The sequence below is a fragment of the Homo sapiens genome, chromosome 17 (genome assembly GCF_000001405.40).
Source record: "Homo sapiens chromosome 17, GRCh38.p14 Primary Assembly".
NCBI lineage: Eukaryota > Metazoa > Chordata > Mammalia > Primates > Hominidae > Homo > Homo sapiens.
This window is the reverse complement of record NC_000017.11, coordinates 78,828,256-78,846,884: the sequence shown is the minus strand read 5'-3', so window position 1 is coordinate 78,846,884 and position 18,629 is coordinate 78,828,256. Positions and strand designations below refer to the sequence as shown.

Below are 18,629 nucleotides of genomic sequence, written 5' to 3'. Positions count from 1 at the left end.
CGCATCTACTGTGAGAATGAAGACCGTTCCCAGCAACCAACCCATGGATATTCCAGAAAAGGTCAACATTACTCTAAAGGAACACACAGTTATTGGGAAGGGCCTGAGAGGAACCCTGAGGAAGGACTTTATTTATTTATTTATTTATTTATTTATTTTATTTTTTTGAGACAGGGTCTTGCCCTGTCGCCCAGGCTGGAGTGCAGTGGTGCGATCTTGGCTCACTGCAACCTCCGCCTCCTGGGTTCAAGCAATTTTCCTGCCTCAGCCTCCCTAGTAGCTGAGACTACAGGCATGTGCCACCACGCCTGGCTAATTTTTGTATTTTTAGTAGAGACATGGTTTCACCATGTTGGCCAGGCTGCTCTCAAACTCCTGGCCTCAAGTGATCCGCCTGCCTCTGCCTCCCAAAGTGTTGGGATTACAGGTGTGAGCCACTGCACACAGCCTTGAGGAGAGACTTCAATCACATCAATGTAGAACTCAGTCTCCTTGGAAAGGAAAAGAGGCTCCGGGTTGACAAACGGTGGGGAAACTGAAGGGAGCCGGCTGCCGTTGGGACTGTTCATAGTCGTGTACGGAGCATGGTCAAAGGGGTTGCCCTGGGTTCCATTACAAGATGACCTCTGTGGGTGCTCACTTCCCCAGAAACGTCGTTATCCAGGAGAACGGGACTCTCGTTGAAATCTGAAACATCTTGGGTGGAAAATCCATCTGCAGGGTTCGGATGAGGCCAGGTGTTGCTTATTCAGTATCTCAAGCCCAGAATGTCGAATTAATCTTTGAAGGAAGCGACATTGAGCTTGTTTCAGTCTTGTTCAAATTCAGCTGCTCTGATTCAGCAAGCAGCAATAGTTAAAAACAAGGATATCAGAAAATGTTGGGGTGCTGTCTACGTCTCCTAAAAAGGAACAGTTCCGCAGGCTGCTGAGGAGGTTCTAAGAGTTGTCCAGCTACAGAAACACGATGTTGGATGACTCCTCAGACCTAAGTATCTGTGATATTTAGATGATTCAATAAAAGACCTATAGATTTGGAAAAAAATAAAAACAAGTCACATTGAAAATCACAAAGCATAAGCCATCTACACCTTTTTTTTTTTTTTTTTTTTTGAGACAGAGTCTCGCTCTGTCACCAAGGCTGGAGTGCGGTGGCGCGATCTCGGCTCACTGCAACCTCCACCTCCCGGGTTCAAGCAATTCTCCTGCCTCAGCCTCCTGAGTAGATGGGACTACAGGCAAATGCCACCATGCCCAGCTAATTTTTGTATTCTAGTTGAGACAGGGTTTCACCATGTTAGTCAGGCTGGTCTTGAACTTCTGACCTCAAGGTGATCCGCCCGACTCGACCTCCCAAAGTGCTGGGATTAGAGGCATGAGCTACTGCACCCAGCCCATCTACACCTTTGCAGGGGATTCTGGAGAATTCCGTGTAGCAGGATGACCTATGGAGACAAACTTGCCTCTCACCCGAGGCACCACTCACCTGTCTGTAGCCTGCGTGCTTCATCTATAGTTGGGACCTCTTGCCTGTGGGGCACCTGGTCCACCCTTCCAGCCTCAGCCATCCCAATGGCCTCCTTTTCTTTCCTTTTTTTTTTTTTTTTTTTTTTTGAGATGGAGTCTCGCTCTGTCTCGCAGGCTGGAGTGCAGTGGCGCGATCTCAGCTCATTGCAACCTCCACGTGCCAGGTTCAGTGATTCTCCTCTTTATTTTCTTGAAGGTGCCAAGCTCGCTCCTGTCTCGGGCATTTTGTTCGTGCTGTTCTCTCATTCCAGAACCTCCTTCCCTTGCTCCTCTTACAGCCGGTCTCTCATCTTCCCACTTTCAACGGAGGTAGCACATCCTCGCAAGAGTTTCCTCCGATGCCCCAGGCCAAGGTATTCTCCATCACCTCATCCTGCTCTTGGCCTGGTCACCGTTGGTCATAAAAATTATGCAAAAGTGTTCATTTGTTCATGACCTGCGTGTTCTTAAGTCCTTTGTGGGGAGAGTCCAGGGTTGATTCACTCACCACCATGTGGAACAGAGTAAATAAGAAATATTCGCTGGATGAATCAATTTGTTTGGTGCCACAGGGCCACAGGAAGGGGTGCCAGCCCCAAGAGAACAGTGGAGGCTTTGTGCGGCAGAGGCCTGGATCCTTCTTCCCCAGGAGTTGGAGACTGGAGGCCTTTAGCAAGTGCTTCCTAGGGAAACTTCAGGTCCCTCTGGGCAGAAAGGAGCCCAGAAGGGTGGATATTTGGGGGAGATGGCTGGCACCAGAGATGGCTGGCACCAAGGGGGCTGGGACTGCAGGAGGCTGTGTGGGGCGGGGACTTGGAGGGAAGTGACAGAGCAAGGGAAAGGGCTGGCGAGTGTGAGCGTGAGAGTCGGTGGATTTTGAAAGTGTGTGAGTGTGGTGGGGTGTGTGAGTGTGTGTGAGGATGTGAGTAAGAGAGAATGTATGTGTGTGTGTGTTGGGGGAATCCCTGGGACCGAACTTATTGTAGAAAGGGTGGCATCCTGCCCAGCTGCATTTAGGGGAAGGACCTCTGCCAGCCTAGGGCACATCTGGCTGAGGTGACCCTTGAGCTTGAGAGCAGTACCAGGGGAGCGATGCAGGGAATCCGCAGACTAGAAGACCAGGGTGCACCTCCCCAAACAGCCGGCTGCCTGGAGTGGCTCTTCGGAGCCTGGGTAAACCCCTGGAGATCTGTCCTATTCAAAGGAGGCAGAGAGCCCCCAAAATGATTGAGGTGGGGAATTCCAACCACCGATGGGGTAGAGGTATTAAACTAATTTAGTTTACCAAAATGAAACAAGAGAAAAGGCCGGGAGGTGGGGTGCGGTGGCTCACGCCTGTAATCCTTGCACTCTGGGAGGCTGAGGGGGGCAGATCACCTGAGGCCAAGAGTTCAAGACCAAACATGGCGAAACCCCATCTCTACTAAAAATACAAAAATCAGCTGGGTGTGGTGGCGTGCACCTGTGATCCCAGCTACTCTGGAGGCCGAGACACGATAATCGCTTGAACCCGGGAGGCGGAGCTTGCAGTGAGCTGAGATTGCACCACTGCACTCCAGCCTGGGCGACAGAGTGAGACTCCACCTCAGAAAAATAAAAAACAAGAGAAAACTACAAAATACGTATCCTGACTTGTGCCAAAGCATCTCGGAGCAGCTGCTGCTCTTGCTAGTGCCCTCTGTGGTCCCAACTCCTGGCCGCCACCTGCCCGGGCCTGGGCTGCCGCCTTGCACAGCCATTCTCCTGGCACGGTCAGATGTCTGAGAGTCAACACCATTTAGGAAGGATGACTTTCTCCACCCCTTCTGAGACTAGAAACAAAATGGAAGGGTCATAAGAATGGTGCCAAGCAGCCAAAAGAGCCACTTCCTTTGGGTACCAACAGGTGGCGTGGCGTCATGGCTCCTGTCTTCCCCAAGTGCCTGTGCCCAGCAGCTGCCTCTGCCTGTGCATCTTCTAGGGCGATGCTAATGGCAGATTTCCTGAGAGCCCTGTCCCATCTGCATGGATGGGAAGGACGACATACATTGCTGTTCTTCCTAAGGAAAGTGGCATCCCTCCCAAACCTGGGAACTCGGGTCTCCATGGACCGCACAGACACCTGAGAAAAGGTTTTGCATCAGAGGCTGATGGCAGAGGCTCTACCAGTCCAGCAAGTCACCTGACTGATGTGAAGGGTTCCCCTAGAGCAGGAGGGACATCTGGGCTGAAAACCCTCATGTGAAAAGGCCTGGGCCCCCCAGGCACTCGGCACCTATGAAATGCAACCCCAGCGGGTGGAAAAGCAAGTCCACGATTGCACTCCCCTGCCAGGCTAGGGAGAAATTCTGCTATTGCAGTTCAGGGGCAACACACCCACCCCCGCAGACCTGAGGGTGGCTGCAACTGTCAGCCACACCCAAAGAATGCAGGGCAGGCTCACTGTGGATAAATGTTTATGAAAGAACCACATGGAAATTGAAATATTTGAGATGAGACTGAATGATCTCTAAATCCTAAAAGAGAAAACTAGAGAAACATTAAAGATGAAAGAATAAAATATTCTGTTATAGAAAGCTGTAACCAAAACGGATCACATTAGAACTTACCTCAAGAAAAAGGTGCATTAACAGAATAGTTGTATTGTCACCCAAAAATTACCTGGTCCGCTCCCTGCCTGGGAGGTCAAGGTAAGATGGACTCAATTCCTCTCCTGGTTTCACAGCCTGTAGAAGATGGCTGAAGATTTGGGCTAATTTCGTGAGAGACCTACGTTGCATTTCTTTCTTTTTTTTTTTTTTAGACCAAGTATTGCTCTGTTGTCCAGGCTGCTGGAGTGCAATGGCACGATCTCAGCTCATTGCAACCTCCACCTCCCAGGTACAAGCGATTCTCCTGTCTCAGCCTCCCTAGTAGCTCGGATTACAGGCGTGCGCCACCATACCCAGCTAATTTTTGTATTTTTAGTAGAGACAGGTTTTCACCATGTTGGCCAGGCTGGTCTGGAATTCCTGACCTCAAGCGATCTGCCTGCCTCGGCCTCCCAAAGTGCTAGGATTACAGGCGTGAGCCACTGTGCCCTGCCTTTTTTTCTTTTCTTTTCTTTTCTTTTGAGACGGAGTCTCGCTCTGTCGCCCAGGCTGGAGTGCAGTGGCGACATCTCAGCTCGCTGCAACCTCCGCCTCCTAGGTTCAAGGGATTCTCGTGCCTCAGCCTCCTGAGTAGCTGGGATTACAGGCGCCCACCACCACACCCAGCTAATTTTTGTATGTTTAGTAGAGACGGGGTTTCACCATGTTGGCCATGCTGGTCTCGAACTCCTGACCTCAGGTGATCCGCCCACCTTGGCCTCCAAGTGTTGGGATTACAAGGGTGAGCCACCGCGCCCAGCCCAAGGATTCTTACAGATAGGGCATAGTCTCAGCATCAGACTAATATGGTTATCTTGTTTGCTTTTTTCAAAAAACACCAGCGCCCAGGTAATAAATACAAGGTGAATTTTGTTCCAAGTACATCTAGCCTCTCTCCCCATCTCCAGTCCCTGCTTTAGGATCCGTGGGGAGGGCATGGAAATTCGTTTTGGGTTGTTTACCTGTGACTTCACCCTACTCATCATTCCTACTTACATCAAAAAAGACACAGCAGATACGACTGTGTTTGCAAAGTTCTGCCTTTTGGATAAAGTAGTTTATGCCCATCCTGTGCTTCTCTGAGTTTCTGAGGTCAGGCCAGGAACCAACACTCTCAACCTGCCCAAGGGAATGGGGAGGAAGCCAGCGAAGTTGCCTCAGATCAAGAGGATTTTTAAAAATACTGCAAAAGAAATACGTGCTCACAAATACTCAGCTAAAACCTTCGCAGAGCTGTCAGAGGACAAAGCTTTTGGAGGGAGTGGGTGGAGCTAGAGATTGCACAGCCGCCACCAGCCTACAAAGGTCAAATCTCACACTCTCAGATCCCTAATTCCGAAGAGCCATTTCCTCGGCAGCCCCAGGCTTTGGCCGATCGCTCCCAGATCCCTCCCTCCCCAAACTGCAGGTGCTCCGCGTGTGGGAGTCACGGATGGCCCCAGAGCCCGGGACGTTAAGGCCGAGCGCCCGCGCCTCCGCTTCTCCACAGCCACCTGACGGCCAGGGGCAGGTGGGGGAGCCCAGCCTTCTCCCTGCCCGGGAGACAGCGCGGGAGGGCTGTTGCAGGGGTGGGCAAAGTCCCTCGAGTCCCCGTTCTGGGGCGGGGGCGCGCGCCACTGTCACACTTCAGGCGTCCGCCACGCCGCCAGGTGTGCTCGGCCGACCCGGAAGTAGCGGCACCTCTAGTGCGCTGCGGAGACGTCACCCTGCCGCGGCACAGGGGCGGGAGCGCCTGTGGCTCTGCGCACTTGCGTCATCACGTAGGCTGGCGGGGTCCCGTGATGGGGAGGTGACGTAGGCGACACGGAAGCGGCGGTGGGCGGGGACAGGGAGTTAGCGGAATCTAGCCCCGCCTCTTAAAGCCTCCCAACCCTTTCGGAGTTAGCGCAGCGCGAACGCTGGGTGCGGCGCCTTTAAGCGTCGCGGTGACACGTGTGTGAGGCGCCGGAGGCCCGGATGGTGCGCGTGCTGGGCCGCGGGCCGAAGGAGTCGCCAGGGCTGCGTAGGCTTGTGGCGCGCCCGCGGAGAGGCCGGGGTAGGCTGGGGTCGGGTCGGGGCGGTGCGCAGGCCTGGGGACGAGACCGGGGCGGGGGGTTCCGCGAGGCCTGGGGCGCGGGAAGGGCTGGCGGGCGCAGCCGGGACGCTCAGGGAGAACGTGGGCGCGGGTCCGCGCAGGGCTTCGGCCGTCCCCGAGGAGGACCCGGGATGCTCCGCCCGCTCGCGAGCTCGCTTCTCCAGAGCCCGGGTATTCCCGAGGAGGGTCCGGGGCCGGGCTGTCCTCGCCGGTCTCCGCCGTCCCCCGGGCTCCGGGCCGGTGATGGGGGTCGCCGGGGCCCGCTGTCTGTGCAGGATTCAGGTCAACTTCGGAGAGGTTGAAGTCGGAATCAGGGCGAGGGCGTCGCGTGCGGCCGCAGAGCTCAGCGGGGCGGGTGCGGCCCCGGGGCGGGCACCTTCCTCGTGGTTGCGGAGGAGGCCATGGAGCCCGGGGCGGGGTGCGGTTCCGATGCTGCTGCTTCTGGCGGGTGGCGTGGGGGTCCTGGGCCTGGGGCTGGAGTGGCGGCCGCCAAACCCAGACACACGAGAGGGGAGACTCCGCGCGCCCCCGTTTACGTAACGCTCGCCACGGAGCCATGCTCGGGGAGAGGTGCTCGGGTCGCTGTGTCCGCGGCCGGGCTCGGGGCAGGCGCTGCGGAGTCGCCCGGGAGGCCCCTGGAGCGCGGCGCTGGGCCCCGGGAGGCCGCTGCTTCCGTGGGCTCCTCTCCCCAGCACGTGGTTGACCCTGCGAGCGTCCGTTGCAGTTCATCCTGGAAAAGTGACTTTAGAAGGAGGAGGGAGCGGGAATGAGCCTAAATGGTGCTGGCTGGGGTTCGCGCAGGTGGAAATGTGGATGAGGCCTGTGCTGTCCTTGGACAAGAGAGAGCATCCTTCCTGAGTTGGGTAGAGTGTGGATGGTGTGTGCGTCGGAGGGATTGCTAGTGATTACAGGAACACTTGTCTCGGGCTCCTACACGTCAGAGAGCGAGCGAGCGTTGTTTAGGTTATTGCTTAATGTTTTAGGTGGAATTGGTGAAGTAGAGATTGACCTGTCCCACTTGAAAAATTGTGTTCAAAATCTCTGCATCTACATTAAGGAGTGGGTTAAGTTCAAAGTTACTTATCTCGAGTGAAACTGGGTTACATCTCCCAAGGTTCGTTTATCCCCTCCCTAAGTGGTTCTCAAGCGTTGGTTGTGCATGACAGAGTTCTCACCTTCCAGGGTAGATGTGAGTCCTAACCGAAAGCAGTGATATTGTGGGGAGTTTTTAATACGACTGGATGTCTTCACTTTGTAGATGGCTTTTATTCTGAGATCATTTCCTTACACATTTTTCGGGAGTTGGTATGCTTTTATTTATGGATGAAGTCATAGGTCTGAGATTTGCTGTAGAATTACCTGGGGATGGGAAGTGACTCAGGATGGGTCAGATGTAGTTACTGAGGCTGAATAAGGGGGGCTCATGTGCTCCCTGTGCGGTTCTCCATCTGTGTGTTTGAATGTTTTCACTGTAAACTGTTTTTACGAACCTTAATTTTATGTAATCATAGTGATCGTAGATGGTAATGAAAGAGAAAATCCACACTTAGCAAAGCAAAATTTTGGCAACTCCTATTACTCCCTGAGGTTTGTTGTTGTTGTTATTGAAGTTTTACTGGTTCATTAAATCCAAAACTTGGGGATTTATTACCTCTTACTCTTTGGAAATAAGATTAGACTGGAGCTGACTGGCAGGTGTTGGGGAGGTTTTCCTTCTCTGGGCTTGTCTGGGGTCAAGGTTAAGGTGTTCATATCGTGTGCATTACAACAACTGGTGATGAGGTAGTACGGTCCACCCGCCTCATCCTGAGTGCACGCGTGGATGCTCCTTGGACGGCTTTTTCGTGGTAGAGGGTTCCCGGTGCGCGCCGCATCCCTGGGAAGTAGCTGAAGAGAAGGCACAGGAAGAGTCGCCTCCACTGATGGTCTCCCTGTCCCTCCCACAGGCTCTGACGCCCGCTCTGCGGCTTCGGTGTTTGAACAGGCCACAGTCCAGGAGCGCTTACATTCAGGAGCTCCGCGTAGCACCTGCCCAACCAAACTCAGCCCTCCGTTAAGATCCTGGTTCCATGCCGCAGTAGGACAGCAGGCCCAAGTCTGCACATCCCAGGTGAGTCTGCGAGGCTTCTGTGTATTTTTTGATTCCGTTGAATTGTCTGCATGTGACGCAGCAGTGATTGTTCAGTTGGTGAGAAGTCTTTGATAATTCTCATGAGAAAAGGCTCTTTTATTTTCTCAAATCAGACAACTTATAATGCTTTTTTTTAAATAAGCTTCTGAAATTTCTTTACAGAAGTTTTTTGTTTTTTGTTTTTTTTTTTTTTTGAGACCAAGTCTTGCTCTGTTGCCCAGGCTGGAGTGCAGTGGCGCGATCTCGGCTCACTCCAACCTCTGCCTCCCGTGTTCAAGCAATTCTCTGCCTCAGCCTCCTGCGTAGCTGGGATTACAGGCGCCTGCCACCATGCCTGGCTAGTTTTTTTGTATTTTTAGTAGAGAAACATCTTCGCCAGGCTGGTCTTGAATTCCTGACCTCCTGATCCACCCGTCTCGGCCTCCCAAGTGCTGGGATTACAGGCGTGAGCCACGATTTTTTTTGTTTTAAAGATGGGGTCTCACGATGTTGCCCAGGCTGGACTGCACTGGCTATTCACAGGCGTAATCATAGCTCACTGCAGCCTCAGGCTCCTGCCCTCAAGTTATCCTCCCACCTCAGCCTCCCAAGCATCTGGGACGACAGGCCCAGGCCACTGCACCTGGCTTTTCTTTACAGAAGTTTTTGTAGAAAAAGATACTTGATCCATGTATAGAATTAGATGATCCACAGTGATAAATTTGAATGGCTTAATATGAGGTGCTGGAGGAAGTCCTTACTTTCACTAGAGCAGAATTTTGGGGCACACTTGACTTGTTGATTCTCTGAGGGCAGGCTGGGTACTGAATACCAGAGGAAGTCATCATTTTTCTGATGTGAGTGAGCAATTTAAGGGACATATTTTTGAAATTGTGACTCAGATAGTCTGTGCTGTGTTTGGGAAGGTTAAGTTGAGAGGTGGTGGGTAGGGGAGGGCAAGTGGTGGATACAAAGGTAGCGATTGGAGAGGTGCAGGGGTCTCTTCTTGGTTACAGTTTCCATGCAGCTGCACCAACAGTATCGATCCTCTGTTAGGGACTGTAGTATGTAGCAAGCTCTAAAGCACTTCCCAAGCCTATTATTTTTGTTGCTATTTTACAGTAGAATAGGGGGTTTGGAGAAGTCATAGTAGTTGTCCCTGGGTTTCATAGCTAAGGATGATAGAACCTCCCGGGGCCACCACATTCCAAAGCCTGTGATCTCCCCACTCTCCTGCTTGGCTTTTCTTCTTCTCTTTTGATAAGAGTCCTGGGAAGACATTTGTTTAAGTTTAGGTGTCTAATGGATACTAGTCTCTAGGCCTGCTACTTGCTTTTCTTCTCCTTCCTCACTTTTAAAAAGATAATTTGTACTCCAAGCACTGTGTAATGGAGATTAATACAAGCCACAAATATAATTTAAAATTTTATAGTAGCCACATTAAAAAGAAGCAGGTGAAATTCATTTTCATAATTTATTTAACTCAATATATATAAAATATTACCATTTCAACAGGTAACTGATCTAAAAATTACTGGGATGTTTTACATTCTCTTCTTATACTAGTGAGTATTTCTCTTCAAAATCTGGTGTGCATTTTACACTTATAGCACCTCTCAACCTGGACTAGCCTCATTTCACATGCTCAGTAGCCACGTGTGGCCTGTGGCCTTCATATTGAAGAGTGCAGGTCTGTACAGACATGCATGCTCATCTGACCTGCATGCTAATTCATTTATTGCGTGGGTGTGTGTGTGTGTGTCCGTTTGTGTGTGTGTGTGTGTGTGTCCGTGTGTGTATAACCAGTTTGTATGTGAGAATTAGTGTGCCCCTGTTTTGGAGCAGACATTTGGACCACGTGATGACCTTTGGAAGGAAATGGCACCAAGAATGATGTCCAGAGCCACTTGATGAGTATCTGATGAAGAGATGCACATGGCAGGGGCTGTCTGGCTGCCTCAGGGCCACTGTTGTCTGCTCACCTCTATTTGTAGTGGCATCTTATCTTTTTGTGGGGGAAATGTGAACTAATATGTCCAAGTGATTAGTGCTGGGTCTCCCTGTTTCCTTTGTGCAGCTGATCCAGGGGATCACTGATCCAGGGGAGCTTTTGTGGTGGCTAGCATCCATAATGACCAAAGAGGAGATCTTAAGAGATGTTTTTGTCCCGGGATTTCGTTATCTATGGCTCTATGTTTCTTCTTGTCCCCACAGTGATGCACCATGCCAATAGTGGATAAGTTGAAGGAGGCCCTGAAACCCGGCCGCAAGGACTCGGCTGATGATGGAGAACTGGGGAAGCTTCTTGCCTCCTCTGCCAAGAAGGTCCTTTTACAGAAAATCGAGTTCGAGCCAGCCAGCAAGAGCTTCTCCTACCAGCTGGAGGCCTTAAAGAGCAAATATGTGTTGCTCAACCCCAAAACAGAGGGAGCTAGTCGCCACAAGAGTGGAGATGACCCACCGGCCAGGAGACAGGGTACAGATGTGCAGTGTGCTGGCAGAGAGGCCCTCACTCCGGGGTGACGAAGTGGATGGACTTAAATATTGACTAATTAGTAGGAAAAACAAGAGAATGTGGTCAAAGAGTTATGAATTTTTACATGGGGTCAGTGGATTTCAGTTATAGAAGTAATGATACAGGGTTGGTAGCAAGGAAATCTGTGTGCTTGGTGGATCTGTGTACTTGGTGGGTCCTTGGACTTGCTGTCCCCCTATCCCAAGTATAATACAGTCGAAAGTCAGGCTTGGAACTAAGAAAGAGAAATGGGGTGGGCTGCATGTGGGCACAGTGTGGTGCAGAGTGCCAGGCCTGGCTCCTTCCGCCACTCAGTCTCTGAGCTGTGTCCTCCATCTATAGAGGGGCCCTTGAATTCTTTAGCCAAGCAGCCTAGGAGGTCCGTGGGATGGCTGGGTTTACTCCTGAGCTTTCCAGGAATGTCCTGTAAACCAGAACACCAGTTCTTCTCTGGTGCCATGTTCCGAGTCACTGCATGCTAAGTGTATGCTTCAGGAGTTTCTTTTTGTGGACGACCTGTGTGTGGACTTACGTCTTCCTCTTTTCTTCCCTTGTCCCTTTCTTCCTCAGGCAGTGAGCACACGTATGAGAGCTGTGGTGACGGAGTCCCAGCCCCGCAGAAAGTGCTTTTCCCCACGGAGCGACTGTCTCTGAGGTGGGAGCGGGTCTTCCGCGTGGGCGCAGGACTCCACAACCTTGGCAACACCTGCTTTCTCAATGCCACCATCCAGTGCTTGACCTACACACCACCTCTAGCCAACTACCTGCTCTCCAAGGAGCATGCTCGCAGCTGTGAGTGTGGGTTTGCAGCAGTGGGGTGGCTGTGGGTCCTCTGGATTAGATAAGCCCATGCACTTGTGGCACTGCTGCTCTCAGTCTGGGTCAAATTTAGGAGGGTAGTTCATAATGTATAGTAACTGATGAAACCTAAATTTGAATCATGCCTGCTGCAGAATGGGCCATGAAGGTGAATCGGTCAGGTGGGGCTGTGTTCGCCAAGCTTTTCTGTAAATAATTACCCAGACAGAAACGTTTTCAAAAGATACTTCCAAAATATATATATATATATATATACAAATATTATTTTTTTAGAGACAGTATCTTGCTCTGACACCCAGGCTGGAATGCAGTGGCTCCATCACAACTCGTTGTAGTCTTGAACTCCTGGGCTCACATGATCCTCCCATCTCAGCCTCCCAAAGTGCTGGGATTATAAGTGTGAGCCACCATGCCTAGCCCAATTGTTTTATGCATCTGTTGTTGTATCAGCATATCTTATGTGTATTATAAAACGTGCAGCCTGGACAACACAGCAAGATCCCATCTCTACAAAAACAAATCAAGGCCGGGCACGGTGGCTCACACCTGTGGGAGGCAGAGGTGGGCAGATCACTTGAGGTCAGGAGTTGGAGACCAGCCTGGCCAACATGGCGAAACCCGGTTTCTACTAAAAATATAAAAATTAGGCGTGATGGGGTGCACCTGTAATCCCAGCTGCTCGGGAGGCTGAAGCAGGAGAATTGCTTGAACCCAGAAGGTGGAGGTTGCAGTGAGCTGACCAAGATCATGCCGCTGCACTCCAGCCTGGGTGACAGAGCAAGACTCCATCTCACACACACAAAAAACAAATCGAAACAATTAGCTGGATGTGGTGGTGTGCTCTATTTGATTAAAATAGAGGTGAAATAAGATATAACTTACCAAAACTGAAAGAAATAGAAAGTGAAGAGTCTTTTAACTATTAAAGAAATTAAAGCATTGGTTAAAAATCTTCCCATAAAAAACCCCAAGCAGAGACAATGTTATTTCTGTGTAACTTTTTTTTTTTTTTGAGACGGACTCTGTTGCCTAGGCTGGAGTACGGTGGTGTGATCTCAGTTCACTGCAACCTCCGCCTCCTGGGTGCAAGCAATTCTCCTGTCTCAGCCTCCCAAATAGCTGGGACTATAGACGCACGCCACCACGCCTGGCTAATTTTTGTATTTTTAGTAGAGATGGGGTTTTACCATGTTGGTCAGGCTGGTCTTGAACTCGTGACCTCAGGTGATCCAACCGCCTTGGCCTCCTAAAGTGCTGGGATTACAGGTGTGAACCACTGTGCCCAGCCAATTTCTATGTAACTTTTAAGAAACAATTCCAATCCTTTACACGTTCTTCCAAAGAATAGAGGAGGAGAGAATCTTTCCCAGCTCATTCTATAAAGTTCCTATAACTCGGATAACAATAATAAGGAAAATGCGAGAAAGAAAATGGATAACCACAACTTCTTCACGAACATAGATATAAAAATTGTAGGAAAATACTACCAAATGACACAGTTTCTAAAAAACTGTAAGCAACTTATGTTTATCCTAGGAATGCAGGATGTTTTCATCGCAGAAAATCTCTAAGTAGAATTCTGGAGGGAGCAGAGCAGTTGAAAACACAGCTCAGGAGCCTGGCCTGTAGGGTTTGCTTCCCAGTTTGCCCCTTAGTAACTGTGAGTTTTTGAGAATGTCCCTGGTCTATGGAAGAATGAGACTGTCTTCCTTACAGAGTTGCGTGAGGCTCCGATAAATTCTGAGTGAGTCAAGTGCCTGGAGTAGCAGCCCGCAAAGAGGGAGTGCTATAGAAGTGACTGCTACTGGCTGGGCACGGTGGCTCACACCTGTAATCCCAGCTACTTGGGAGGCTGAGGCAGGAGAATCACTTGAACCTGGGAGGCAGAGGTTGCATTGAGCTGAGATCACACCACTGCACTTTAGCCTGGGCAACAGAACAAGATTCCGTCTCAAAAAAACATAAAAAAAAGAACACAAGATGGCCATGCAGTGGGAAGTGTTTGTAAACATCTTGCTAATTGCGATGGCTTCATAGCAGCAAAGGTTAATTATCAAGGCATAGTTGTTGAGATGAAGCAGCACATTGTTTGGGGGCGTTTTTTGGAGATGGAGTCTCGTTCTGTCGCCCAGGCTGGAGTGCAGTGGTGCAATCTCGGCTCACTGCAACCCCCGCCTCCTGTGTTCAAGAGAGTCTCCTGCCTCAGCCTCCCAAGTAGCTGGGACTGCAGGTGCCCGCCACCACGCCTGGCTAATTTTGTATTTTTAGTAGAGACGAAGTTTCACCATGTTGACCAGGCTGGTCTTGAACTCTCGACCTCAGGTGATCTGCCTGCCTCTGCCTCCGAAAGTGCTGAGATTACAGGCATGAGCCACCGTGCCCTGCAGAAGCACATTGTTGAGATGGCTAATTGTAGCCCCTATTTCCAGTGGTGACCTTGGTAATTTTGAGGTGGTTCTGGGTGGACTTTCAGTAAGATTTGACTAGATGGCTGTTGTTTTCGTCTCATGGTTTTGGCAGTAAGACTCTGCTATCCCAGGCCTGTCAGGGCTCTTCCACTGTAGAGCTGCCTTCCATTCTTGGTTTCTCTGCAGGATCTTTTTGAGCCAGTTGCCAACTTTGTGAGGATTAATTTAGTTAAAACTAGATAATATCTGTAAATCCCCGTAACCTGGCACAGGTAAGCTGCAGTTTGTTGCAGCATGTCAGCAGCAAGCGTGTGAGTAAGGCAGCCATGGCCATCCCTTCAAGGGGAACGCCTGGTCTTCCTTCCAATACCGGTCCCATGGGCCAGTATCACTGTGAAATATTAGTGCATCTTACTATCTTGGAACATATGAAGAGACGTTGTGGCCTTTTTTTCCTGCACCCCACTGGATCCTGAGTGACCCCTAAGTGGGCTTTGGCTGTGGTCTCCCCCTCCTAGCACATGGCATTTGAAGAGTTGAGGATCCTAAGGGGTGTTTGTTCTGACGAGGGTCCACTGTGCACGTGGCACGGAGCAGCAGCTCCTGCCGTAGGCTGGACTGTCTCTGGCGCTAATATTTAGCTAGAAGAGAAACACTGTGTAAATAGTCTAGGAGGAACGCAGTTCAGTCCTGTCCTTTTGTTTCCCAAATCTCTCTATGTCCGTGTAGTCATGGATTGACTTTTGAGTTATATTTTCCTAAATTACATGAATAAATATTTGTCCATGTGCCACTTAAATTAATCTCATATATTGCTGGAGAACCTGGCTTAGATTGTTATTTACCCTGTTAAGAGTGATATTTTATTAGGCTGAAAGAAGCTTTTTTTTTTTTTTTTTTTTGAGACAAGCTCTCACTCTGTCACGCAGGCTGGAGTCCAGTGGTGTAATCATAGCTGACTGCAACCTCCACCTCCCAAGCAATCCTCCCACCTTAGCCTCCCAAGTAGCTGGCACTATAGACTCATAGCACCATGCCCAGCTAATTTTTTTTTTGTATTCTTTGGGTAGAGATTTGGTTAGGCAGTGTTGCCCAGGCTGGTCTCAAACACCTGGGCTCAGCGATCCTCCTGCGTCAGCCTCCCAAAATGTTCGGATTATAGGTGTGAGCCACCATGCCCAACCAGCAGCGTTTTATATATAATGATTAGAGGCTTAATTTCTACACAGTTTTTTGAGACAGAGTCTCTGTTGCTTATGCTGGAGTGCAGTTGCCACAGTCTCGGCTCACTGCAACCCCCACCTCCCAGGTTCAAGCGATTCTCTTCCCTCATCCTCCCAAGTAGCTGGGATTACAGGTGACTGCCACCACACACGGCTAATGTTTGTATTTTTAGTAGAGATGGGGGTCTCACCAAGTGGCCAGGCTGGTCTTGAACTCTTGACCTCACGTGTTCCACCCGCCTCACCCTCCCAAAGTGCTGAAATTACAGGTGTGGGCCCCCATGGCCATTTTCTTTTGTAGTAAAACTGTATCTTACCTGAAGTTAGGTTTTGGAAAAAAAAGAGCTCTTCAATATTTATGTTGTCCCTTTTTTTTTTTTTTTTTTTTTTTTTTTTGAGATGGAGTTTCACTCTGTCGCCCAGGCCGGAGTGCAGTGGTGTGATCTTGGCTCACTGCAACCTCCGCCTCCCAGGTTCAAGCGATTCTCCTGGCTCAGCCTCCCGAGTAGCTGGGACTACAGGCACGTGCCACCATGCCTGGCTAATTGTTTGTATTTGTAGTAGAGACGGGGTTTCACTGTGTAAGCCAGGATGGTCTCAACCTCCTGACCTCGCGATCCACCTGCCTCGGCCTCCCAAAGTGCTGGGATTACAGGCGTGAGCCACTGCATCTGGCCTGTATTTTCTTTTAAATGACATAATTTTTGCCTAATTTTGAGTTCACCAATCATTATTGTCATTTTAAAAATAAAAGTAATAACATGGATATAGTTAGAAAAGGCAAGCAGAAGTCTAAAATGAAAAAAACCTCCCCTTTATGTAAAGGCAATCTCATGGAGAGTTTTTTACATCTCTTCAAGAAGAATTTTGTGTAAATAATAGCATTTTAATGTCTATTTGCTAAGCAGGCTGCATGCTGTTGCATTATTGATTTTGAAGTCTAAGGAGTTGGAGATATTGCGGGGAAATGATTTGGGTTGAGTTTTGTGTTATGAGATGGATCTATTTGATAATAGATAATAGGTAATGCACTGTGTAGTAGACAACAGTATCTAGCAGATTTGAAGGCGTGCTTGCCCTTTGGTCCAGAAATTTGTCTTCTGAGCGTGTACTTTAGAGAAACTGACCCATGTGCTCAAGGAGACAGGTGCAGGATTGTTCATTGCAAAATGTCTATGATAGCAGAGAAAATGGAAAGGCTAAATGTGTGTTAGTGGTGGATACATAAATAACAGTGGTCTCTTCATTCAGTGAAATATTCTAGCTGGAAGATTTGAAGGAACTGGAGCTATGTCTAGCAACATGGATTTTTGTAAAGCCATTGCTGAATGATACGTAACTGCATGATACGATTTATAGAAAGGAAGTTTGGAAACATGTAGCTACAGTGCCATTTATTGTTCATGGATACACATGTGTGTGATAATACATGAATGAGAACGATAATTGCCTAATTCAGGATAGTGGTGACTTTGAATGAAGGTACATGGAAAATGGGGTTGAGAGAGATTGAGGGGAGTTCGGCGATCACAGCAGTGTTTATTTACATCATAATTTGAAAGGTAAAAATGTACCACTGTCGGGGCTGGGCTCGATGGCTCACGCCTGTAATCCCAGCACTTTGGGAGGCTGAGGCAGGTGGATCACAAGGTCAGGAGTTCGAGACCAGCCTGGCCAGCATGGTGAAACTCTGTCTCTACTAAAATACAAAAAATTAGCCTGGCATGGTGGCACGAGCCTGTAGTCCCAGCCACTTGGGAGGCTGAGGCAGGAGAATTGCTTAAACCCGGCAGGCGGAGGTTGCAGTGAGCCAAGATTGTGCCACTGCACTCCAGCCTGGGTGACAGTGAGACTCTGTCTCAAAAAAAAAGGACCACTGTCTAGCCTAATGCCTAGTGAGGCGTTTTATGTAGCGCAGGGGTGGGCAGACTCATCTGGCCTGCTCTCTGTGTGTGTAAATAAAGTTTTATTGAACACGTTCATACCCCATTGTTCATATATTGTCTATGGCTGCCTCCTCTACAATACAGGAGCATAGTTGTGACTAGACTGTATAGCCCTCAGATAGGAAAGGATTTGCTATCTGGATCTTCCCAGAAAACATTTTCAACCCCAGATGTATCCTAGCGAGGTGTTTACTAGAACCAGTGGAACAGACGGTCCCATATCTGAGGCACTACTAAGGGGCTGTCAGCCCTAAAATATTTTAGCCTATTTACCATGTGATGCAGCTTAGAAATTCGAGAATACATCGTTTAAGCTTCATTTTGAAAATCTGCCTTAGTCTTTTTATAAGTAAATAATACTAGTGAAATCTGAAAAGGATCATGCACAGGTCAGCATTAATGTGGGGTGATGGTGTGAGGTTGTGATGGTGAGAGTTTCAGCTTTGGATGGATCATAGCTTCCAAACGCCATCCAGCAGAGAATAACATTTCCTTGGTGGTCACCCAGTCAGCAGAGGTCTGGGATCTCTGGCTCAGCCGTTCTCTCACAGCCTGGTTTGCTCTTACCTGCTTGTGTTTCTGGCTGTGTTAACGTTTGGGGTGGGGGCCTCACCGTGAGTTCTTTGAAAGCTCTTGTCTTAAAATTGCTCCTCCTTCCACGCCGGCAGGCCACCAGGGAAGCTTCTGCATGCTGTGTGTCATGCAGAACCACATTGTCCAGGCCTTCGCCAACAGCGGCAACGCCATCAAGCCCGTCTCCTTCATCCGAGACCTGAAAAGTAAGCATCAATCCATGTTAAAATTTTTGTGATTTATTTATTTTTTAATTTTTTGTAGAGATGGGGTTCTCGCTATGTTGCCCAGGCTGGTCTTAAATTCCTGGCCTTAAGCAGTCCTTCCGTTTTGGCCTGCCAAAGTGTTGGGATTACAGACACGAGCCACTGTGCCATTCTCCATCTGTTACTGAAGGCCTGCTAAGTGCTCGCCCTGTAGGAGGTGCTGGGGAGTTGGTAGAAGGGAGAGAAGAGTGAGTCATGGATGAAGTCTTGGGAATCCCTCTGTGCTAACAGCCCTGCATGTGGTGGTGCAGACTCAAGGAATAGCAGTTTAGAGACATGTGGGCTGGGGTCAGTGGGGAAGCCTCTTAGTGGGGGCAGGTCAGGACAGGTAGCTTTTCCTTTGGGCAGGTGGAGGAGTTATTGTGTATTTGGGGCAGGCAGGTGGGCCTGAGGGAGAGCTGGGAGGAGGGATGGATGAGGAATGTACCAATTCCATTCTGAATATCAGGAATCAGTTGCCTATGCTATAAAAAAGTCTCATTCACATTCACTTGGCAGAAAGAAGAGGCCTATTACCGGTTTTTGAAATCTGTGTAAATTGTAGCACTGTGAAATACTTACTCACCTGTGTTTTATATTGG

At 49.4% G+C, this 18,629-nt stretch overlaps 1 protein-coding gene, 1 long non-coding RNA gene and 1 pseudogene across 34 annotated transcripts in view, besides 5 other annotated features; 2 read left to right on the top strand and 1 right to left on the bottom strand.

Moving 5' to 3' along the window:
- Positions 1-92: 92 nt before the first annotated feature.
- LOC124904067 (uncharacterized) lies at positions 93-5,771 on the bottom strand. The gene is made up of 2 exons (XR_007065923.1): positions 1,486-5,771; positions 93-1,025 (listed from the first exon to the last, which is right to left on the bottom strand). It is a non-coding gene; the product is annotated as an uncharacterized LOC124904067 (long non-coding RNA).
- On the top strand, positions 448-1,038 carry RPL9P29 (ribosomal protein L9 pseudogene 29; annotated as a pseudogene).
- The window catches only part of USP36 (ubiquitin specific peptidase 36), a 54,059-nt gene continuing 40,875 nt past the window's right edge, over positions 5,446-18,629 (top strand). For 15 of the 33 annotated variants that reach the window (NR_169582.1, NR_169584.1, NR_169585.1 and 12 more), the window contains exons 1-5: positions 6,071-6,149; positions 8,135-8,298; positions 10,513-10,774; positions 11,384-11,605; positions 17,878-17,988. Coding sequence is in view for 26 of the 33 variants with exons in the window: in XM_011525071.4 (XP_011523373.1) it covers positions 10,522-10,774; positions 11,384-11,605; positions 17,878-17,988 (586 nt within the window). In the remaining 7 variants the exon portion in view is untranslated. Of the gene's footprint in view, positions 5,625-6,070; positions 6,607-6,874; positions 7,047-8,134; positions 8,299-9,813; positions 9,989-10,512; positions 10,904-11,383; positions 11,606-17,877; positions 17,989-18,629 lie in introns of those variants that run through there. The other 18 variants (XM_047436470.1, XM_047436469.1, XM_024450845.2 and 15 more) reach the window with 13 other exon arrangements.
- Positions 5,584-5,683: a silencer, noted in NCBI's record as "silent region_9075". NCBI's record gives its function as "represses an Ori minimal core promoter by ATAC-STARR-seq in GM12878 lymphoblastoid cells {active_cell/tissue: GM12878}" and the evidence as "EXISTENCE:reporter gene assay evidence [ECO:0000049][PMID:35858748]".
- Positions 5,804-5,993: an enhancer, noted in NCBI's record as "active region_12913". NCBI's record gives its function as "activates an Ori minimal core promoter by ATAC-STARR-seq in GM12878 lymphoblastoid cells {active_cell/tissue: GM12878}" and the evidence as "EXISTENCE:reporter gene assay evidence [ECO:0000049][PMID:35858748]".
- Positions 6,144-6,663: a silencer, noted in NCBI's record as "silent region_9074". NCBI's record gives its function as "represses an Ori minimal core promoter by ATAC-STARR-seq in GM12878 lymphoblastoid cells {active_cell/tissue: GM12878}" and the evidence as "EXISTENCE:reporter gene assay evidence [ECO:0000049][PMID:35858748]".
- Positions 7,588-8,102: an enhancer, noted in NCBI's record as "H3K4me1 hESC enhancer chr17:76834865-76835379 (GRCh37/hg19 assembly coordinates)". NCBI's record gives its function as "activates a minimal SCP1, AML or CMV promoter by ChIP-STARR-seq in naive H9 embryonic stem cells {active_cell/tissue: H9 hESC(naive)}" and the evidence as "EXISTENCE:reporter gene assay evidence [ECO:0000049][PMID:30033119]".
- Positions 8,103-8,617: an enhancer, noted in NCBI's record as "H3K4me1 hESC enhancer chr17:76834350-76834864 (GRCh37/hg19 assembly coordinates)". NCBI's record gives its function as "activates a minimal SCP1, AML or CMV promoter by ChIP-STARR-seq in naive H9 embryonic stem cells {active_cell/tissue: H9 hESC(naive)}" and the evidence as "EXISTENCE:reporter gene assay evidence [ECO:0000049][PMID:30033119]".